The 23,158-nt window shown below is 38.3% G+C and overlaps 1 protein-coding gene and 1 long non-coding RNA gene across 4 annotated transcripts in view, besides 2 other annotated features; one reads left to right on the top strand and one right to left on the bottom strand.

The window, feature by feature from the left end:
- The window catches only part of CYP4Z1 (cytochrome P450 family 4 subfamily Z member 1), a 62,794-nt gene extending 52,217 nt beyond the window's left edge, over positions 1–10,577 (top strand). For both annotated transcript variants that reach the window (XM_024453856.2, NM_178134.3), the window contains 3 exons: positions 7,788–7,852; positions 8,909–8,991; positions 10,025–10,577. In XM_024453856.2, the coding sequence (XP_024309624.1) occupies positions 7,788–7,852; positions 8,909–8,991; positions 10,025–10,193 (317 nt within the window). In that variant the 3' untranslated portion in view covers positions 10,194–10,577. The remainder of the gene's footprint in view (positions 1–7,787; positions 7,853–8,908; positions 8,992–10,024) is intronic.
- CYP4A22-AS1 (CYP4A22 antisense RNA 1) overlaps positions 1–23,158 on the bottom strand; it is an 84,084-nt gene that overhangs the window by 12,202 nt on the left and 48,724 nt on the right. The window lies entirely within an intron of this gene.
- Positions 100–709: an enhancer, noted in NCBI's record as "NANOG-H3K4me1 hESC enhancer chr1:47573513-47574122 (GRCh37/hg19 assembly coordinates)". NCBI's record gives its function as "activates a minimal SCP1, AML or CMV promoter by ChIP-STARR-seq in naive H9 embryonic stem cells {active_cell/tissue: H9 hESC(naive)}" and the evidence as "EXISTENCE:reporter gene assay evidence [ECO:0000049][PMID:30033119]".
- Positions 5,268–5,810: an enhancer, noted in NCBI's record as "OCT4-NANOG hESC enhancer chr1:47578681-47579223 (GRCh37/hg19 assembly coordinates)". NCBI's record gives its function as "activates a minimal SCP1, AML or CMV promoter by ChIP-STARR-seq in primed H9 embryonic stem cells {active_cell/tissue: H9 hESC(primed)}" and the evidence as "EXISTENCE:reporter gene assay evidence [ECO:0000049][PMID:30033119]".

Consider the following 23,158-nt stretch of genomic DNA (forward strand, 5'->3'; position numbering starts at 1 on the left):
ATCTTAAAATCCCCCGACCCATACAAAAGCTACATGTTGAAAATGTGAGAATCAGCATGCCTTCTAATTTTTCCCATTCAGGTCCTTTCTGTTTCATGTTCCTTTCACTTTCCTGATCTTGTGGCTTTTGCAGCTGCTGCGGGTAACTTTCTGGGCTTCAGACAATGCTGTTGAGATCCGCATGGATGTTGGTGGAAGAGCTGGCTCCACCCGGCTGACTCAGTTTTAGGCTACTTATACGTCATCTCTGGTCTCCTGCAGTCTCTGCCCTTTCCTCCAAGTGCCTTCAAGGGCTGCACCTTAATCTCCCTCAAGCTACAATGAAGGGACAGGAAGTGCACACGCAGAGTTGCCTTCACCTCACTTTACATTCCTTTCCGCCACACCTTCTTGCCCTCCAGAGCTTTCAGGCCTTCACTGCACCTCACGTGCTCATCTGTCTCATTTCCTGTTACCCTGCTTTCCTTCCTGCCCCTCTCATACACACAGGCACTCCACAACTTCACTTTCTTCACCCCAGGCTTGGATGCCTGGATTCATCACTCCAACTTCCCCTTTGGCAATGCCGTCAACTTCCTTGAATATTTTCCCTTTCTCTACTGTCACTCATCAGTAATTCAACCAGCATTAAATTCCTCTATACGCTTTCTCTGCCCTGCTAATGGGCCCTTGAATGCAGCTATAGCACAACAAAGCATGTGCAAATGGATGCCTCATATCCGCCAGACCCACCTCTTCCCCTGTATTACCCAGAAATCCTGTTTATTTCTAAAAAGAAACATGTTTATGATGCCTGCTTTCTCTCCCACACCTCACAGTATCACTTACACATTGTCATCACTCTCTACCTGTGCCTGTGCCATGGTCCCATTCACTCTTGGCAAAAGACCTACTACATTATGTGTGCCCTTCTCTTCATTTGCTGGCCCAACAAGTGCATATTAAACATTTGCTCTAGGCACTTTGCTTTGTTCTGAGCATACTATGATGTGCAAAATGTCCAAAAGAAAGCATGTCATCTACCTCCTTCCCCTAAACCTATTCCTCCTCCTGGATTGCTACATTAATGAATGGCACCACTGTCTGTGAGTAATTTTAAGTGAGAAAGATAGAAGTCATCCTCACACCTCCACCATCTTCCTTACCCAGACAGTATCCAAGTCCTAGAATATCAGCTATTTCCTTCTCAACAACCTTGCTTCCATGGTCTCAGTTATTGCCTTTGTCAATCTTCAAATGCCAGAGTCCCCTAAGTTTTATATTTCCATACTTAGGTATCTACAAACCAATCTACTTATAAAAGATAAATCATAAGTCTAGGTAAATTCTAAGTTCCAACTCAAGAAAGCCACTTGGGTGATTCTGTTGCCACTTGTCCCTCCTAAGATCCTACTTATACACATACACTGAAATGCAAAAAGAAATAATCCCATAAAAGTGAAAAGAATGGAAGGAAGGTATTTAACAAACAAAAAGAGAGAGAGAGATTTTAATGAATTTATGAAATTAAAAAAGAAGGTAGGATTGGGCTGCCAAATTAAACAAGAAGAGAAATTCCCAGTTTTAAAAGGCAATGAGAGGGTGGCTGCAGAAAGACTTGCAGAGAGTAGAGGGTGGCTCTACTTTTTAATCCCATAGAAAAGGTTTAGAAATTGTGGTCTTAATAAGCTTAGTAAGGCTGAGCTACTTTAGGAAAAGTGTATATTAATCACCTAAAAGAAATAGTCAATCCTAAAAATTATATTTTATCTTTTAAAAGTTAACTTTTAATTTAGAGCCTAGGGTACAATTAAAGACTCTTTATTCTGGCAGAGAAAAGGGGATGTCCACTCTGCTGACAGATTGTGACTCAAATGATACACAGATTCCTGGGAGAGCAGTCATTTTTTCTGGACAATGCAGATCCCTTTTCACTAATCTTATTAAGAGATATTTTGAGCCTTGCTCAGAATTACCTAGATTTGTGGAACAAAGAAATTGGAGTTAGGAAGACAGATTTAGAGAGAGGATGAAGATAAAATCAGATCAGTTGCAGGCAGTCATTAATCTGCTTTTCATAAGTTTTTTTCCAGGGAATCTTCACTGACATTGAGTTAGAGTCATTGAGGTGTTTTCAGATTTTCTACATGGCCAAAAAAAAAAAAAAAGATGACAAACCACCAAAAGTTATGAATTCTATTTCCTTTTTGCCCTAAGGCTCCATGGAGATTTAAGACCTCAATAAAGTAGGAAATTTTCAAATTATGTCTTTTTCTGACGTATTCTTGGTTTAAATATGTAATTTTGTTAGATAATGTGCATGCTTTTTTATTATAATGAATATGCTCATAAGGTGTCAGTGTGATTCTCTGGATTAATAAAACCCATGCCAGAAAAACAAAAACAACAGATTCCCTCAATAGCCAATAACAGACCTATCAATGGCCTAGTATGTGCCATGAATCTGATGGTCCAGTAAGCCTCAGTGGAGAGGGACATGGCCCAAAAAAATGGGTGTTCCATGAAATCCCCTAAATAATTCACAATCACTAAATAGAACAAAACACAATGGGTTTTGTGCCACTCATGGGAGAGATCCATGGCAATCAACTAGACACTGGCTGTAAGCTAGAGCAAGCAGAAACTCCTAAGAAAGACAATAACAGACTTAGGAAATCAAAAATATCTCATCTGAGGACACTGGCATGTGCCTGTAATCCCAGCTACTCAGGAGGCTGAGGTGGGAGGATCACTTTAGCCTGGGAGTTTGAGGCTGCAGCAAACTATAATCACACCACTTCCCTCCAGCCTGGGCAACATAGTGAGACCTTGTCTCAAAAAAATTTTTTCATTGACCATGATTTGAGACTCACCCAAAGGAGCTAATAATTGATGAGCCTGTGAATCATACTTCTTAGGTATTAGCTACTACTGAACTTCAATGGGCAGTCTGTTCTGATGATCTTGGTGAGACTTCCAGAAACCATTTAAAAGAGAACAAGGCTTCTGGAACCAAAAATTGAAAAATGAAAGAATGTGTACTGCCAGGATATAAACCTAATCCAACCATAGAGGTTAGACCCTATGATTGAGGCTTGGGAGAGTTAAATAACATTGGGTTTTTGAAGCTCTAAACTTCAAAATCTCTGACCCATGTTAAGAAAGCAAATTTCTTGAATGTCCTTGATTAGCTAGCAATATGTGGATTAATCACTTAGGAAGAATTCGTTAACGGTGACCTGGCCATTTGTTTTTTGAAAGTGATCTTTGCTGTGTGGATGCAGCACTGTTATGGTGTTCCAGTTGCCATTCTAACCCAAATTAGGTCTTTACCTCAGTCAGTAAGCTAGCTGGCCATGTCAGGATTGGTGAAGTTCAAAAATTAGTCTTCATAATGTTAAAAGCCACAATTCATCATGAACATAAGACAGCTATTGATACCTACCTATGTATCAAGTTACACATCTGCAATTTTTTTTTTTTGATGGAGTCTTGCTCTGTTGCCCAGGCTGGAGTGCAATGGTGCAATCTCTGCTCCCTGCAAACTCTGCCTCCCAGATTCAAGCAATTCTCCTGCCTCCACCTCCCAAGTAGCTGGAACTACAGGCGCATGTCACCACGCCTGGCTAATTTTTTGTATTTTTAGTGGAGACGGGGTTTCACCGTGTTAGCCACGATGGTCTCAGTCTCCTGACCTTGTGATCCACCCGCCTGGGCCTTTCAAAGTGCTGGGACTACAGGGGTGAGCCACTGTGCCCAGCCCTGCAATTTTTTAAAGCAAACTATAGGAAATGAAAAGGAAAACAGTCAAAGGCACCCTACTAACAGATTTTAACTGCCTTTCAAAGACCTACGCAAACCAAACAAATAAAGTATACAGACGATCTAAACAATGTAATTAATAAGATAGACTTTATGCGTACAATATTAAACTTTTTCCCCACTAATAGAGGACAGACTTTCCTTTTAAGTACACCAGCAACATTGCTTAAAGTTGACTGTATACTAGACCACAATAAAAAAACTTAATTACTAAAAGAGAAACATTACAAAATAGTGTTCTTTAAATGAAGACAATAAAAATGGAAATTAGCAACAAAAATTTTTCAAAAAGTTTCATTCATCTGGAGTTTTTTGTTTAATCCATTAAAAACTCTTGGGCTAAAGCAAAATTACAAAATCAAATCATGACCCTGAAAACTCTACATATGAGAATTAATGGTTTGCCACTAAAGCAGCATTCATTCAGAAGAGAAGCTATAATAGTAAATGCGAAATATTTTTATTAATAAAAGAATTAAATTAAACATTGACGTCGAAAACAACTGGAAATAAATCAGTTGGGGAAAGAATAAAAGAGTAAACTAAAAGGAAACAGGTGAATTAACAAAGGCGAAAGCAAAAGGTAATGGTATGGAAAGCAGAACGGTTGCAAAACTAGTCAAAAAACACAATAGCCAGTGGGGGAGGGGCTGGTCAACAAAGAGACACACCACGAACTAATATTACACAAGTGTATGCACAGAGACTTGAAAAACCAGGAAAAAAACTAGATAATTGTATAATACATAATTTACTAAAACTGATGCTGGTAGAGATAAATAGTCTAAGCATGCCAATTTTCACAGGACTAGAGAAAAATTGTAGAGCCCCTGAAAAGGAACCAGACCTATGCAGTTTTTCACAAATTTTTTCAAACCTGTAAAGACCATATAATCCCAGTAATACTTAAAGTTGTCCAGAGCATAGAAAAATAAAAACTTAGAAAGTTATTTAAGGAAGTATCACATTGATAACAAACCTACTAAAAATTGAACAAAAATATATTTAGATAAAAATCACTTATGTATATAAGTACAAAAATTTTAAATAAAATATTAGTACACATAATCCAATAGCTCATTGAAATAAATGTATTGGCTGGGCAGGTGGCTCATGCCTGTAATCCGAACACTTTGTGAGGTCAAGGTGGGAGGATCGCTTGAGTCTGGGCAACACAAGACCCCATCTCTACAAAAAGATAAAATAAAATAAAACAGTGCATCATGGCCAAGTAAGTAGGTCATATTCCAAAACTGAAAAGATTGTTCAATATTAGGAATCCATTAATATAATTTATTACATTTATAGGTTTCAGGAGAAACCCATATCATCTCCACCCTGATCAATGGATATTCCATAACATGATAAAATATTACTTCAGTGCCATATTGGCACTATATCCCATATGGTTCTATGGCTCCAAAGTATAATACAATCTCCCAAGTAGCTGACTAGGAAAGGAAAAAAAAAAAAGACAATACTCTCACTCTCTGCTTAAACTTCTCAGTGATCCATAATGGTTTCAACCTAAAATCCTTAGCATGACCTCTTTCCCATTTTAAGGTACAAGCCCAGCCAACCTCCACAGGCTGATCTATGGACACTTTGCTCCCTGAATCCTGTTATACAACCTCCCAGTCACCCAAATTTCTCATGCTTTCTCAAGTATTAAAGCTTGGCTTCATGCTTTTTTATCTGCCTCAAATTCCTTTCTGAACATTCTTCTCTTTACCTGGTTTTCCCCTACCGATTTCATTATACTCAGCTCAGCATGCCTCGCCTGGGCCTTTTCTCTTGCATACATCCAAAGGCTCTATACATGAGGTTCCCCTCTCAATTCCCCAAGCATCCTAGGCTTCCTTCTGACTTATTACCATGTGTTGCAATTGCCTGTCTCTTCCAATGGACTGTGAGCTCCTTGAAGGCTAGAGTAGATCTCACTGATCTTCACAGCACCCATTTAAGTGTCATCATAACAGACGCTTCTTAAATGGTTAACGAAATTATGATTGTAGAATTCTTTCCTTGGTTATGAAATCTATGAATAGATGTGAAAGAATCTTTGCTCGTATTTTATTGAGGATCACAAGCATTCTTATACACCAATAACAGGCAAACAGAGAGCCAAATCATGAGCGAACTCCCATTCACAATTGCTTCAAGGAGAATAAAATATCTAGGAATCCAACTTACAAGGGATGTGAAGGACCTCTTCAAGGAGAACTACAAACCGCTGCTCAATGAAATAAAAGAGGATACAAACAAATGGAAGAACATTCCATGCTCCTGGGTAGGAAGAATCAATATCGTGAAAATGGCCATACTGCCCAAGGTAATTTATAGTTTCAATGCCATCCCTATCAAGCTACCAATGACTTTCTTCACAGAATTGGAAAAAACTACTTTAAAGTTCATATGGCACCAAAAAAGAGTCCGCATCGCCAAGTCAATCCTAAGCCAAAAGAACAAAGCTGGAGGCATCATGCTACCTGACTTCAAACTATACTACAAGGCTACAGTAACCAAAACAGCATGGTACTGGTACCAAAACAGAGATATAGATCAATGGAACAGAACAGAGCCCTCAGAAATAATGCCGCATATCTACAACTATCTGATCTTTGACAACCTGACAAAAACAAGAAATGGGGAAACGATTCCCTTTTTAATAAATGGTGCTAGGAAAGCTGGCTAGCCATATGCAGAAAGCTGAAACTGGATCCCTTCCTTACACCTTATACAAAAATTAATTCAAGATGGATTAAAGACTTAAATGTTAGACCTAAAACCATAAAAACCCTAGAAGAAAACCTAGGCAATACCATTCAGGACATAGGCATGGGCAAGGACTTCATGTCTAAAACACCAAAAGCAATGGCAACAAAAGCCAAAATTGACAAATGGGATCTTATTAAACTAAAGAGCTTCTGCACAGCAAAAGAAATTACCATCAGAGTGAACAGGCAACCTACAGAATGGGAGAAAATTTTTGCAATCTCCTCATCTGACAAAGGGCTAACATCCAGAATCTACAATGAACTCAAACAAATTTACAAGAAAAAAACAAACAACCCCATCAACAAGAAGGTGAAGGATATGAACAGACACTTCTCAAAAGAAGACATTTATGCAGCCAACAGACACATGAAAAAATGCTCATCATCACTGGCCATCAGAGAAATGCAAATCAAAACCACAATGAGATACCATCTCACACCAGTTAGAAAGGCGATCATTAAAAAGTCAGGAAACAACAGGTGCTGGAGAGGATGTGGAGAAATAGGGACACTTTTACACTGTTGGTGGGACTGTAAACTAGTTCAACCATTGTGGAAGTCAGTGTGGCGATTTCTCAGGGATCTAGAACTAGAAATACCATTTGACCCAGCCATCCCATTACTAGGTATATACCCAAAGGATTATAAATCGTGCCGCTATAAAGACACATGCACACGTATGTTTATTGTGGCACTATTCACAATAGCAAAGACTTGGAACCAACCCAAATGTCCAACAATGATAGACTGGATTAAGAAAATGTGGCTCATATACACTATGGAATACTATGCAGCCATAAAAAATGATGAGTTCATGTCCTTTGTAGGGACACGGATGAAGCTGGAAACCATCATTCTCAGCAAACTATCGCAAGGACAAAAAACCAAACGCCGCATGTTCTCACTCATAGGTGGGAATTGAGCAGTGAGAACACATTGACACAGGAAGGGGAACATCACACACCAGAGCCTGTTGTGGGGTGGAGGGAGGGGGGATGGATAGCATTAGGAGATATACCTAATGTTAAATGACGAGTTAATGGGTGCAGCACACCAACATGGCACATGTATACATATGTAACAAACCTTCATGTTGTGCATATGTACCCTAAAACTTAAAGTATAATTTTAAAAAAAAAGTAAAAGAGAAAAAAAAAAAGACAGAATCTTCGCTCATGCACTTACCTGCTTTTTCTTCTGTTTACTCAGGAATAACTGTGTTTATCAATATTTGGGCTCTTCACCACAACCCCTATTTCTGGGAAGACCCTCAGGTATGATTGTCCCAACTGCACCCAGTGGCATCTAAGATAGCACCAAGAGGGAAGAGAAGCATCTTCACAGTTGAGAGAGCAGTTAGGATAACGATCTGTCATTTAGAAAAGAACAAAACAGAACAAAAACCCTATGCTTTTAAGAGAAAACTACATTTGCATTTATAATCATCACCAGAGTTCCATGATGATGCCTTATCAACAGAAGCATATCATCCCCTGGGAAGTAGAGGGGTGTGATTAGTCAACTGACACTGCACTGTTTAACCACCTTGCTCTCTGCTTTCATTCATGTCTGTAGTCAATCTAGTCACAGACTTGTGAAGTGTATTGCAAATCTCTTGTTACTGGTCATAATTAAAGTAGCAAGATTATGGACTCTTTGCTTTTTTTAAGATTTGAGCATATTTGAAGTTAGTCTCTAGGAATATCACTCTCCTTCACACTCAGTGCTAACCTGAGAGTGAAAGGGAGAGGGGGCCTGGGAGAGAACAAGCACACTCCTGGGCTGCAAACCAGCGCTCAGACCAACCCCACAGCCCAGGAGATACTAATCGGCAGCCTCTCACAGAGACTTTCGGGCAGAAGCTGAACAACTTCAGCTTGTGACTTCAGCTTGTGAATTGCCACCCCTTTTTTCTTTGCCCAAGTCACTGGCTCAGTCCATTTGGAAACCAAGACAAATAGAAAAGATAATAATTTGATGCTTTGCCCATTTTTATATGACAGAGGCACGGGTTTACTGTGAAGGGAAAATAATGAAGTCACTATTTGCTCAAGTCAGATTGTCTGGATGATTTGCTGCTGCTTCTTACTATCGGGGCCTGTTTAATCTATCACTAGGTTATATAGCCTCTGCTTTCTTGGGATATATTTTCAGTGGTAGGCTTTTGGGGAACATCAAGCAGGACTTGTAGTCTCCAGACATTGTAAGTTCCTAAAATTAGCTTTGGAATTCTGTTAACAATATCTATGGATTTCGTTTTTGTTTTTGTTTTTGTTTTTTGTGGGGGTGGGCTGGAGGGATTAGGACTGGGATCTTCACTCTCATTACAGGTCTTTAACCCCTTGAGATTCTCCAGGGAAAATTCTGAAAAAATACATCCCTATGCCTTCATACCATTCTCAGCTGGATTAAGGTAAAGACTCAAGCTGGTGAACTTGATGGAAATGTGTAATAGTGCTTACCTGACAAGTGCTTCTTCCCTTCAGGCCCTCAGTTAGCTGACACTGCTGTTGCTCCCCATTATTTTACCTGGCTTGTCTTCTCTTGTGACCAGTGCATTTAGTTGGTACCCTTTTGAGCCCCCAAAGGGACCGGTTAATGTTACAAAGAACAACTCTGGTCCTTGGCATATGGGTGTGAATTGATGAAGGCCATCCTCATGACAGGCCCAAAGACTACACTTAAACTTGCAATGGACAAGCATTGGGAATGCCATCTTGTTATAGGAACAAGGCAACATTGGCACCTCCCAGCTCTTGTTCCTACAGAGAGCAATGTTGTTCTAAAGTCCAAGTTTCCCTTTGGTTTGGTATGAGAGACACCCGATTTACCAAATGACAACACAATCCACTGAGTATGCCAGGTTATTGTTCTTATGCCTAAGGCTTCAACTGCACAGCCTCTAAATAATAGTAAGAAGTAGCTTTTCCTTATCATGATATAAGGAAGGTTTTCAAGTTACGTGGACCTTGCAGAATCAAATGTTGATAGAACTCACTACCACTTATTTGTAAGATGGGCCCCAAAATAATAGAGCCACAGTTTGCAGGTCTTGACATTAATGGACTTTCTGATCGGGGCTTACTTAACTTAAAATAAAACATTTGCTGGATTCTGCCACATTGGAATTTGTTTAAAACATGGATCTTGGCTGGGTGCGGTGGCTCTTACCTGTAATCCCAGCACTTTCGGAGGCCAAGGTAGGCGGATTACTTGAGATCAGGAATTTGAGACCAGCCTGGCCAACATGGTAAAACCCTGTCTCTACCAAAAATACAAAAATATTAGCTGGGCATCATGGTGAGCACCTGTAATCCAGCAGGATGACAGAAAAAAAAATGGATCTTGTTTCCCTACAAAAGTCGTCATATATAAAAAGATTGGCGTATGTTGTTAATAATATATAAATTCATTAGATGCCATGTTTTCTTTCTTGGTATCCCCAGGAACTGCATTGGGCAGCATTTTGCCATAATTGAGTGTAAAGTGGCAGTGGCATTAACTCTGCTCCGCTTCAAGCTGGCTCCAGACCACTCAAGGCCTCCCCAGCCTGTTCGTCAAGTTGTCCTCAAGTCCAAGAATGGAATCCATGTGTTTGCAAAAAAAGTTTGCTAATTTTAAGTCCTTTCGTATAAGAATTAATGAGACAATTTTCCTACCAAAGGAAGAACAAAAGGATAAATATAATACAAAATATATGTATATGGTTGTTTGACAAATTATATAACTTAGGATACTTCTGACTGGTTTTGACATCCATTAACAGTAATTTTAATTTCTTTGCTGTATCTGGTGAAACCCACAAAAACACCTGAAAAAACTCAAGCTGACTTCCACTGCGAAGGGAAATTATTGGTTTGTGTAACTAGTGGTAGAGTGGCTTTCAAGCATAGTTTGATCAAAACTCCACTCAGTATCTGCATTACTTTTATCTCTGCAAATATCTGCATGATAGCTTTATTCTCAGTTATCTTTCCCCATAATAAAAAATATCTGCCACCTTCTGAGTCCCATAGTCTCTCATTATACCCTGTAGGGAATGGATAAATTGATGACAATGTATTAGAAAGCCTAGACACTTAAGAGGAATTCCAAATACAGAAAAGTCTGATATATGAATTCCCATTTGGAATATTTAGAGGAATTCCGAATACAGAAAAGTCTGATATATGAATTCCCATTTGGAATATTTAGAGGATACCATGCAGTACGGAACTCTTGCTCAACATGGAGTAACATGACTATGGAATGTTTCAGCAGAGACGGGGTCCAGATAGAACAACCTAATCCCCCATGCTGGTGTGTGCTATAATAGAGATACAGAAATTCCCATATATCTGCAGTGGAAAACACAGAATCATTAAGAGAGCCAAGAAGCATCACAAGAGAGCCAAGAGGAATCATTAATCCAGGAGTGAGTGACTGAAATTAAACTGTGCTAAAGTCCATGCATCTTTTGAGGTTGTAGGGTGGGCAGTGGGGGAGTGGTTAAAATACCAAATAACTTTAGACTTTATCAAGCATGAAAAATAAAATTCTCAAACATAGTAACTAAAGAATAGAAGTAAAATGTATAAATTTGAAATCTGTAGAGGAAAATACAGAATAAGAAAAAATAGGATATAAAGAGCCAAAAAAAAAAAAAAGGCCAAAACATACTCCCAAAAAGAAGGGGGAAAAGAAGCATAGAAAAGGAACCACAAAGTAAAATAGTAGAAACATATGCAAATACATCAATAATTAATGAGTAGAAGATAATCAATGGATAGAAGAACTCACAAGTTAGGACGCAGAGGTTGTCAGATTGGACTTTTTAAATTCCAGACATTACTAAAACGTAAGACTATGAAATTACTGAAAGTAAAAAGGTGGTAAATATATGCCAGAAAAATACTAATGGAATCAGAGTAACTATATTAGTATTAGATAAAATAGATGAAATAAAAACAAAACATTATCAGTGATAGTCACTATGTGTGATTCACTATATAAACAGAATTAAAAACAAAAACCATATAATCATCTCAGTAGACGCAGAAAACGCTTTTGATAAAATCTAACATCTCTTCATGATAAAAAAACCCTCAACAAACTAGACATTGAAGAAATGTACCTCGAATTAATAAGAGCCATCTATGACAAACCCACAGCCAACATCATACTGAATGGGCAAAAGTGAGAAGCATTCCCCTTGAGAACTGGAACAAGACAAGATGCCCACTATCACCACTCTTATTCAACATAGCACTGGAAGTCCTAGCCAGAACAATCAGGCAACAGAAAAAAATAAAAGGCATCAAAACAGGAAAAGAGGTCAAACTATCTCTCTTCATGGATGATATGATTCTATACCTTAAAAACCCTAAAGACTCTGCCAAAAGGCCCTTGGAACTGATAAATGACTTCAGTAAAGTTTTGGGATACCAAATCAATGGCCAAAAATCAGTAGCATTGCTATATACCAATACATCCAAGCTGAGATCGAAATCAAGAACACAGTCCCTATACCATAGCTACAAAAAGAATAAAATACCTAGGAATATATCTAACCAATTAGCTGAAAGGTCTCTACAAGGCGAACTACAAAATGCTGCTGAAAGAAATCAGAGATAACACAAACAAGTGGGAAAATATTTCATGCTCATGAATTGGTAGCATCAAAATTGTTAAAATGACCATACTTCCCAAAGCAATCTACAGATTCAATGCTATTCCTATCAAGCCAGCAATGTCCTTTTTCACAGAACTAGGAAAAAAAAGAGCCTGAATAATCAAAGCAATCCTAAGCAAAAAGAACAAAGCCAGAGGCATCACATTACCCACTTCAAACTACACTACAAGGCTACAGTAGCCAAAATAGCATGGTACTGGTACAAAATAAACACATATACCAATGGAACAGAATAGAGAGCCCAGAAATAAAGCCATACACCTGCAACCTTCTGATCTTCAACAAGCTTGACAAAATAAGCAATGGGGAAAAAGACTCTGTATCCATTAAATTGTGCTGGGATAACTGGCTATCTATATGCTGAAGAATGAAACTGGACCCCATCTATATGCTGAAGAATGAAACTGGTCCCTTTATACAAAAATTAACTCAAGAGGGATTAAAGACTTAAATGTAAGACCTCAAACTATAACAATTCTAGAAGAAAACCTAGGAAATAACCTTCTCCATTTCAGCCCTGGCAAAGAATTTATGGCTAAGTCCCCAAAAGCAATTGTGACAAAAACAAAAATTGATAAGTAGGACCTAAGCAAACTAAAGAAAGAGCTTCTGCACAGCAAGAGAAACTACCAAGAGAGTAAACAGACAACCTGCAGAATGAGAGAAAATATTTGCAAACCATGCATCCGACAGAGGTCTAATATCCAGAATCTATAAGGAGTTTAAACAAATCAAGAAGCAAAAAGCAAAGAACTCCATGAAAAAGTGGACATGCATGTCTTTTTTTCTAAAGAAGAAAGAAGACACACATGTGGCCAACAAGCATATAAAAAAAAAGCTCAATACACTGATCATCAGAGAAATGCAAATCAAAACCACAGTAAGATACCATCTCACACCAGTCAGAATGGCTTTTGTTAAAAAGTCAAAAAATAACAGATGTTGGTGAGGCTGTGGAGAAAAAGGGACACTTCTACACTGTTGGTAGGAATGTAAATTAGTTCAGCCACTGTGGAGAGCAGTTTGGAGATTTCTCAAAGAACTAAGAGCTGAACTACCATTGGACCCAGCTATCCCATTACTGGGTATATACCCAAAGGAAAATAAATCGTTCTACCAAAAGGACACATGCACCCAATGTTCATCATCATGCTATTCACAATAGCAAAAGCATGGCATCAATGCAGATGCCCATCAATGGTGGATTGGACAAAGAAAATGTGGCACATATACCCAATGGAATACTATGCAGCCATAAAAAAGAACAAAATCATGTCCTTTGCAGCAACATGGATCTAGCTGGAGGCCATTATTCTAAGCTAAGTAACACATAAACAGAAAACCAAATATGACATGTTCTTACTTATAAGTGGGAGCTAAATATTAGACATATGGACACATGGACATAAAAATGAGAAATAGACACTGGGGACTATTAGAAGGGATAGAGAGAGAGTGACACAAGGGCTGAAAAACTACCTATTGGCTACTATGTTCACTACGTGGGTGACAGGTTCTATCATACCACAAACCTGAGCATCACACAATATGCCCAAGTAACAAACATGTACTACACTACAAGGCTACAGTAGCCAAAACAGCATGGTACTGGTACAAAAGTAGACACGTAGACCAATGGAACAAAATAGAGAGCCCAGAAATAAATGCATACACCTACAACCCTCTTTAATTTGACACCAAATAAAAGTGGACCCACAGGAAGAAATAAAGACCATCAGATGCATACATACACGCATATAAACGTGTGTATGTATATATACATATACATAGAATATCTTTTAAATCTTATTTTCTTAATTTCATTAAACAATATATGACTTTAAAGAAAAAATCAAACTGTATTGTTGGGCTTATTATATATGTTTATATATAATATAATATGTAATACTTATATATTATATAAATATATTATGTATATTTATATATAATATATTATGTATATTTATATAATATATTATGTATATTTATATATAATATGATATATTATATTGTGATATTTTATATATAATATAATAGTATATTTATATATAATATAATATATTATATTATATATAAAATATCACCAATAATAGTAAGGATATGAAAAAGGGGAAATGGAAATATACTTTTGCAAGGTTGCTATATTTTACCTGAAATAATTTAACATAAACTTAAAGAAGGTTTAAAACCAGTTAAACTGCATATTGTAATCCCTAAAGCAACCACTAAAAAGTAATCCAAAGAGAGAGAACTAATAAATCAGCTGACACATTAAAATGAAATATTGAATAATACTTGATTAATACAAATAATGGCATGAAAGGATAAATAGGGAAATATATAATAACCAGATGAGACGAACAGAAAAAAATAGCAAAATGGCAGACTTGAATTCAACCACATCAATAATTACATTAAAGATTACTAGACTAACCACTCCAATCAAAGAAAGAGACTGATGAACTGGATTTTTTAAAAAGCAGGGACTGACAGCCTGTGTGTTATACTGAAGAGATGAACTTCAAATAGAAAGACAAAAATAGCTTTAAAATAAAAACAATAGAGAAAGCTATGTTATGCAAACAGTGCGCAAAAGAAATATGGAGTAGCTATACTATTATCAGACAAAATTAACTACCGATAAAGAATATTATCAGAGACAAGGAGGAACACTTCATGATAACAGAGGATCAATGCATCAGGTAGATTATGTGCTTCATAACAGAGCTTCAAATTACATGCAGCAAAACTTTCAGAAATAAGGAAATAAATACACAAATTCAAACTCACAGATGGAGAATTTAGCAAGTCTTTAGAAATCGATATACAACTAACAAAAATATAGTAAGAATACTGAATATCTGAATAACACTACCAATCACCTTAGTCTAATTGACGTTTATAGAACATTAAACACAACTGTAGAATACAAATTCTTTTATTTTTTTATTTTTTTATTTTATTTTATTATTATGCTTTAAGTTTTAGGGTAAATGTGCACAATGTGCAGGTTAGTTACATATGTATACAAGTGCTATGTGGGTGTGCTGCACCCATTAACTTGTCATTTAGCATTAGGTATATCTCCTAAAGCTATCCCTCCCCCCTCCACCCACCCCACAACAGGCCCTGGTGTGTGATGTTCCCCTTCCTGTGTCCATGTGTTCTCATTGTTTAATTCCCACTTATGAGTGAGAACATGCAGGGTTTGGTTTTTTGTTCTTGCAATAGTTTACTGAGAATGATGATTTCCAATTTCATCCATGTCCCTACAAAGGACATGAACTCATCATTTTTTTATGGCTGCATAGTATTCCATGGTGTATATGAGCCACATTTTCTTAATCCAGTCTATCATTGTTGGACATTTGGGTTGGTTCCAAGTCTTTGCTATTGTGAATAGTGCCGCAATAAATATACGTGTGCATGTGTCTTTATAGCAGCATGATTTATAGTCCTTTGGGTATATACCCAGTAATGGGATGGCTGGGTCAAATGGTATTTCTAGTTCTAGATCCCTGAGGAATCGCCACACTGACTTCCACAATGGTTGAACTAGTTTACAGACCCACCAACAGTGTAAAAGTGTTCCTGTTTCTCCACATCCTTTCCAGCACCTTTGTTTCCTGACTTTTTAATGATCACCATTCTAACTGGTGTGAGATGGTATCTCATTGTGGTTTTGATTTACATTTCTCTGATAGCCAGTGCTGGTAAGCATTTTTTCATGTGTTTTTTGGCTGCATAAATGTCTTCTTTTGAGAAGTGTCTGTTCATGTCCTGCGCCCACTTTTTGATGGAGTTGTTTGTTTTTTTCTTGCAAATTTGTTTGAGTTCATTGTAGATTCTGGAGGTTAGCCCTTTGTCAGATGAGTAGGTTGCAAAAATTTTCTCCCATTTTGTAGGTTGCCTGTTCACTCTGATGGTAGTTTCTTTTGCTGTGCAGAAGCTCTTTAGTTTAATTAGACCCCATTGGTCAATTTTGGCTTTTGTTGCCATTGCTTTTGGTGTTTTAGACATAAAGTCTTTGCCCATGCCTATGTCCTGAATGGTAATGCCTAGGTTTTCTTCTAGGGTTTTTATGGTTTTAGGTCTAATGTTTAAATCTTTAATCCATCTTGAATTAATTTTTGTATAAAGTGTAAGGAAGGGATCCAGTTTCGCTTTCTACATATGACTACCCAGTTTTCCCAGCACCATTTATTAAATAGGGAATCCTTTCCCCATTGCTTGTTTTTCTCAGGTTTGTCAAAGATCAGATAGTTATAGATATGCAGCGTTATTTCTGAGGGCTCCATTCTGTTCCATTGATCTGTATCTCTGTTTTGGTACCAGTACCATGCTGTTTTGGTTACTGTAGTCTTGTAGTATAGTTTGAAGTCAGGTACCATGATGCCTCCAGCTTTGTTCTTCTGGCTTAGGATTGACTTGGCGATGTGCACTCTTTTTTGGTGCCATAAGAACTTTAAAGTAGTTTTTTCCAATTCTGTGAAGAAAGTCATTGGTAGCTTGATGAGGATGGCATTGAATCTATAAATTACCTTGGGCAGTATGGCCATTTTCACGATATTGATTTTTCCTACCCATGAGCATGGAATGTTCTTCCATTTGTTTGTATCCTCTTTTATTTCATTGAGCAGTGGTTTGTATTTCTCCTTGAAGAGGTCCTTCACATCCCTTGTAAGTTGGATTCCTAGGTATTTTATTCTCTTTGAAGCAATTGTGAATGGGAGTTCACTCATGATTTGGCTCTCTGTTTGTCTGTTATTGGTGTATAAGAATGCTTGTGATTTTTGCACATTGATTTTGTATCCTGAGACTTTGCTGAAGTTGCTTATCAGCTTAAGGAGATTTTGGGCTGAGAGGATGGGTTTTTCTAGATATACAATCATGTCATCTGCAAACAGACACAATTTGACTTCCTCTTTTCCTAATTGAATACCCTTTATTTCCTTCTCCTGCCTAATTGCCCTGGCCAGAACTTCCCTCTCTCACCACTCCTACACATTCTTTTCAAATGCACATGGAACATTGATCAAAATATGCTGATCTTTAAAAAAAACAGATTTCAAAGGGTTGAAATTTTTAACTGTTACCTGAGAAGCCCAGAAACAAATTAAAAAGCAGTAAAAACAAGATATCTGGAAGAGCTTAAAATATGTGAAAATTTTATATATTTTTGGATAAATAATTGATATTTATTAATTGATATTGAGATAATTGGCTAACTAATCACTTGAGGAAAAATAAGTTTCATTTCCCACCTATTTGTATGTAGATAAATAAGCAAATAAATTCCAGCGGAAATGGTTTTAAACTTACGTTTTTATGTATTGAACACCCTGGTACACATTTGCTTTTTTTTTTCTTTTTTAATTCTACTGGAAGTTTTAGGGTACATGTGCACAACGTGCAGGTTTGTTACATATGTATACCCGTGCCATGTTGGTGTGCTGCCTCTCTCACCACTCCTATTCAACATACTGTTGGAAGTTCTGGCCAGGGCAATCAGGCAGGAGAAAGAAATAAAGGGTATTCAATTAGGAAAAGAGGAAGTCGAATTGTCCCTGTTTGCAGATGACATGATTGTATACCAAGAAAACCCCATCATCTCAGCCCAAAATCTCCTTAAGCTGATAGGCAACTTCAGCAAAGTCTCAGGATACAAAATCAATGTGCAAAAATCACAAGCATTCTTATACACCAATAACAGACAAACAGAGAGCCAAATCATGAGTGAACTCCTATTCACAATTGCTTCAAAGAGAATAAAATACCTAGGAATCCATCTTACAAGGGATGTGAAGGACCTCTTTAAGGAGAACTACAAACCACTGCTCAATGAAATAAAAGAGGATACAAACAAATGGAAGAACATTCCATGCTCATGGGTAGGAAGAATCAATATCGTGAAAATGGCCATACTGCCCAAGGTAATTTATACGTTCAATGACATCCCCATCAATCTACCCATGACTTTCTTCACAGAATTGGAAAAAACTACTTTAAAGTTCATATGGAACCAAAAAACAGCCCACATTGCCAAGTCAATCCTAAGCCAAAAGAACAAACCTGGATGCATCACGCTACCTGACTTCAAACTATACTACAAGGCTACAGTAACCAAAACAGCATTGTACTGGTAACAAAACAGAGATATAGACCAATGGAAGAGAACACAGCCCTCAGAAATAATGCTGCATATCTACAACTATGTGATGTTTGACAAACCTGACAAAAACAACAAATGGGGAAAGGATTCCCTATTTAATAAATGGTGCTGGGAAAACTGGCTAACCACATGTAGAAAGCTGAATCTGGATCCCTTCCTTACACCTTATACAAAAATTAATTCAAGATGGAATAAAGACTTAAATGATAGACCTAAAACCATAAAAACCCTAGAAGAAAACCTAGGCAATACCATTCAGGACATAGGCATGGGCAAGGACTTCATGTCTAAAACACCAAAAGCAATGGCAACAAAAGCCAAAATTGACAAATGGGATCTTATTAAACTAAAGAGCTTCTGTACAGCAAAAGAAATTACCATCAGACTGAACAGGCAACCTACAAAATGGGAGAAAATTTTTGCAATCTACTCATCTGACAAAGTGCTAATATCCAGAATCTACAAAGAACTCAAACAAATTTACAAGAAAAAACAAACAACCCCATCAAAAAGTGGGCAAGGATATGAACAGACACTTCTCACAAGAAGACATTTATGCAGCCAAAAGACACATGAAAAAATGCTCATCATCACTGGCCATTAGAGAAATGCAAATCAAAACCACAATGAGATACCATCTCACACCAGTCAGAATGGCAATCATTAAAAAGTCAGGAAACAACAGGTGCTGGAGAGGATGTGGAGAAATAGGAACACTTTTACACTGTTGGTGGGACTGTAAACTAGTTCAACCATTGTGGAAGTCAGTGTGGTGATTCCTCAGGAATCTAGAACTAGAAATACCATTTGACCCAGCCATCCCATTACTGGGTATATACACAAAGGATTATAAAACATGCTGCTATAAAGACACATATACACATATGTTTATTGTGGCACTATTCACAATAGCAAAGACTTAGAACCAACCCAAATGTCCAACAATGATAGACTGGATTAAGAAAATGTGGCACATATACACCATGGAATACTATGCAGCCATAAAAAAGGATGAGTTCATGTCCTTTGTGGGTACATAGATGAAGCTGAAAACCATCATTCTCAGCAAACTATCACAAGGACAAAAAACCAAACACAGCATGTTATCACTCATAGGTGGGAATTGAACAATGAGAACACATGGACACAGGAAGGGGAACATCACACACCAGCGCCTGTTGTGGGGTGGCGGGAGCAGGGAGGGATAGCATTAGGAGATGTACCTAATGTTAAAAGACGAGTTAATGGGGGCAGCACACCAACATGGCACATGTAAACATATGTAACTAACCTGCACGTTGTGACCATGTACCCTAAAACTTAAAGTATAATTTAAAAAAACCCACAAATCAAATCCCTGAGCTGATCTACCCACAGGAGTAACTGCTTCAAGATGCCACCAAGGGGCATCTTGGTGTTCCTTCCTCTGCCTTGGCTTGCCTAAACACCGAATCAGGAAATATCCAGCAACCAATATAGCAGTTTCATTTTTACAATGTGGCATTCAAAACTGAACTGAGTCTCTTCAGGATGGTGATATAACCAGTTCAAAGTTTTGCTTTATCCAGCTGTCACTCATGGATTCAATCAGTAGGTATTTCTTGGGCATCATCAACAGACACAGTCATCTGCATCATGCGATGGAAGCAAAGGACATAGCAGCTGAGTTACCACCTTTCAGGAGTTTTTATGGAGGTATCTGAGTAGTAAATAAATGGGATAGGCCAAGCTCAGTATCTCGCACCCGTAATCCCAGCACTTTGGGAGGCCAAGGTGGGTGGATTGCCGGAGGACAGGACTTTGAGAACAGCCTGGCCAAAATGGTGAAACCCTGTCACTACTAAAAATACAAGAATTAGCCAGGCATGGTGGTGGGTGCCTGTAATCCCAGCTACTCAGGAGGCTGAGGCAGGAGAATCACTCTAACCTAGGAGGCTGAGGTTTCAGTGAGCTGAGATTATGTCACTGCACTCCAGCCAGGTCGAGAGAGCAAGGCTCTGTCTCAATAAATAAATGAATAAATAAATAAGTGGGATAGATGTATACTTTTTAATAAGTCTTCAAAATCACAAGCACACTTTTCTAAGAGTTACATTCATACTCTACATATGGCTCTATGTTCTACTTTTATCACTTTCCCACATGCTTTACTCATATCATTAAACATTCTCCATAAACATCGCTTTCAATGACTATGCTACACCTAGCCCCATGATTGCCATTCAGTTTCTCACAGGAGCTGCCCTGGATAGTGAGACTTGCATTTATGCCAATATGGGGAGTTCATAATCTGACACATCTTCCTGCAATTTGAAAATAATGAATCAAACATAGCAAACATGAAATGACCTCTGGAAGGTTTAGGGGCTGCCATCTAGACTGGAGGCTCAACTTAATCATGACCTTGTTTAAATGAATGGTTAACAGCAAAGTCTCTGGAGCCTGACTGCCTGGACTACAATCCTGGCTGTACCTCTTACCAACTGGGGGATTCTGGACAGGGAACTACCCTGTTTGCGCCTTAGCTTTCCCACCTATAATATGAAGATTTTTTTAAAAATCTCTTTTGTAGAGTTTTTCTGGAGAAAGCATGTAAAGTTTTGGCTTCATGGCCAGAACATAACAAGTGCTCACTAAATGTTGGCCATTACCACATTTTGAGCCCAACTCTAAAGAAATTGAGAATCTAGGGAGGGGAAAAAAAAAGCACAGTGAGAATTCAAAGCCAAAATCTCTGACTTCAGAGCTACTGTTGCCCATGCTATGGGAGAAAAACAGGTGCTGATCCAAGTAGGGAAAGAGTCAGGGTCCAAGAGTCCCCAGTCGGGGTTAGGGAGGCAGTGATGGCTGGTGGAAAGTAGCCACAGAACTGGGGGAGGTTGGGTGGAATGAAGTGTAAATAGTTACATGTCCCTACTCTTTGGTTTGGATAGGAGCCCAGGATTTGAGGCAGAAAGAAAAGAACTCTGACTCTCTGGGTTCTCGAATGTGTCACCTGCCATGAGTGGGGCAAAGGAGGAAGGTGTTGGGCATAAGAGTTTAGATGGATTAGGGAGCAGGAGGAAATGGGGCCCCTGGGAGAGCTGACTTCCATGGAATTCTTTTGGAAATCTATTGATTTATGTTCTGAATTGATGACCTTTGGTATGACCTTGTGGAGATAATTATGAAAAAAGTGAGAGGAGTGGTAATTTGAAGAGGAGCTGGTCCCATTTCTGCTCTTTCATGTATGATCTCCATGAATCTGCCAGTGCTTTTTCCTTTTTCTAGTATTTACCAACTGGTAAACTCCTCTTCGTCCTTAAAGACCTCTTTACTTATTTATCTTCTCTGTCTCTGAATGGCCCAAGCCCACAATTTATTCCTTCAGTACACCCTCTATAATGTTTTAACACAATAATTTATTTTCCTTCCTTTAGCTACTAAACGGTGAGGTTAAAAAAACCTTTGTTTTTGAATAAATAAATGAGTGAATAAGTGAATAATTCTATGAGATATTCAGAGAAGTGCCTGTAATCGCAGCACTTCGGGAGGCCGAGGTGGGTGGATCACGAGGTCAGGAGATCAAGATATTCAAAGAAATGATTGTAATCCCCCCCATTTTAGTTTTCTATGGCTATTGTGAAAAAAAATAATACCAGAAAGTTGGTGGATGTAGCAGTCCTGCACCTGTTTTCCCACCTTTCTTGACCACAAAGAAAGGGGTCCAGGCTGCTGGATTCTAGTGGACCTTTACCAGTGTGCCCGACATTGCGTTTGTGCTCAGAGGTGAGTCCCAGAGCTGGGCTGGGTTCCCGAGTACTTCCTATTAACCCAGGTGCCCCATCAAGATGCATTCCTACAAGCAACAGTTCTCTCTTATGCAAATTCATTTCAGAGAGGGTGTGGGTAACCTATTGAGTCAGAATTGAGACAGAGTTTTTTGATTCTGTAAGTACTTTAAGGCTTGGCTGAGTGCAAACAGCTTGCATGTTTGAGCAGACCAGTTATTAGGCAATTTTCTTAACTCTGCTTCTACAGGACTTTCCCTCAATTATTGAATACCCATTGTGTTTTTTTCTCAATCACCTGGGAGGAACCATCTATTGTCTTGTCCTGAAGGGAGTTCCTCCTAGATCTGGTTGGGCCTTTGTATGGTAATTAAGATTTAAATCCCCTGTTAGGAAATCTGCTGGGGTAAGGGAATTTTCAATGGTTAATGTTAAATTATCTTTTTCTAACAGAATAGCCCCATACTTTGAGATTTTTGAGTTAGCAACCTACCCTTTTTGCTTTTTTAACTTAGGATAGTTCTGAACTGGTGAGGTGGGCTCACAATGAGGTTTCCTCTAGAGGCTAATTTTCTACTTCCTTCTGTTAGCAAAGCAGTCGCTGCAACTGATGAATGCATTTCGGCCATCTGCAGGTTCCTGGGTTAAGGATTTTTGATAAGAAGGCTACTGGTTGTCAGTGGCCTCAGTGCTTTTGGGCTATGCCCTTGTTTACACGGACAACAAAGTGGTATTGGAGTGTTATAGGGTCACAGAGAAAACTTCCAATTATCAATTATAGGTTTTAAATTTACCCTGGCTTTTAAAGAAATAGGATATACTGTTTTTTCTTTACTACTTCTATCTTTCTCTTTCTCTCTTTCTTTCTCCTTTCTGTCTTTGTAGATGCATTTTGGAAACACAGTGGAAGGATGTTCGCTCATTGCCCTCATTTGCCACTATATGAATATGCGCCTCCCTTTTATTT

Source organism: Homo sapiens, chromosome 1 (genome assembly GCF_000001405.40).
Source record: "Homo sapiens chromosome 1, GRCh38.p14 Primary Assembly".
Classification (NCBI taxonomy): domain Eukaryota; kingdom Metazoa; phylum Chordata; class Mammalia; order Primates; family Hominidae; genus Homo; species Homo sapiens.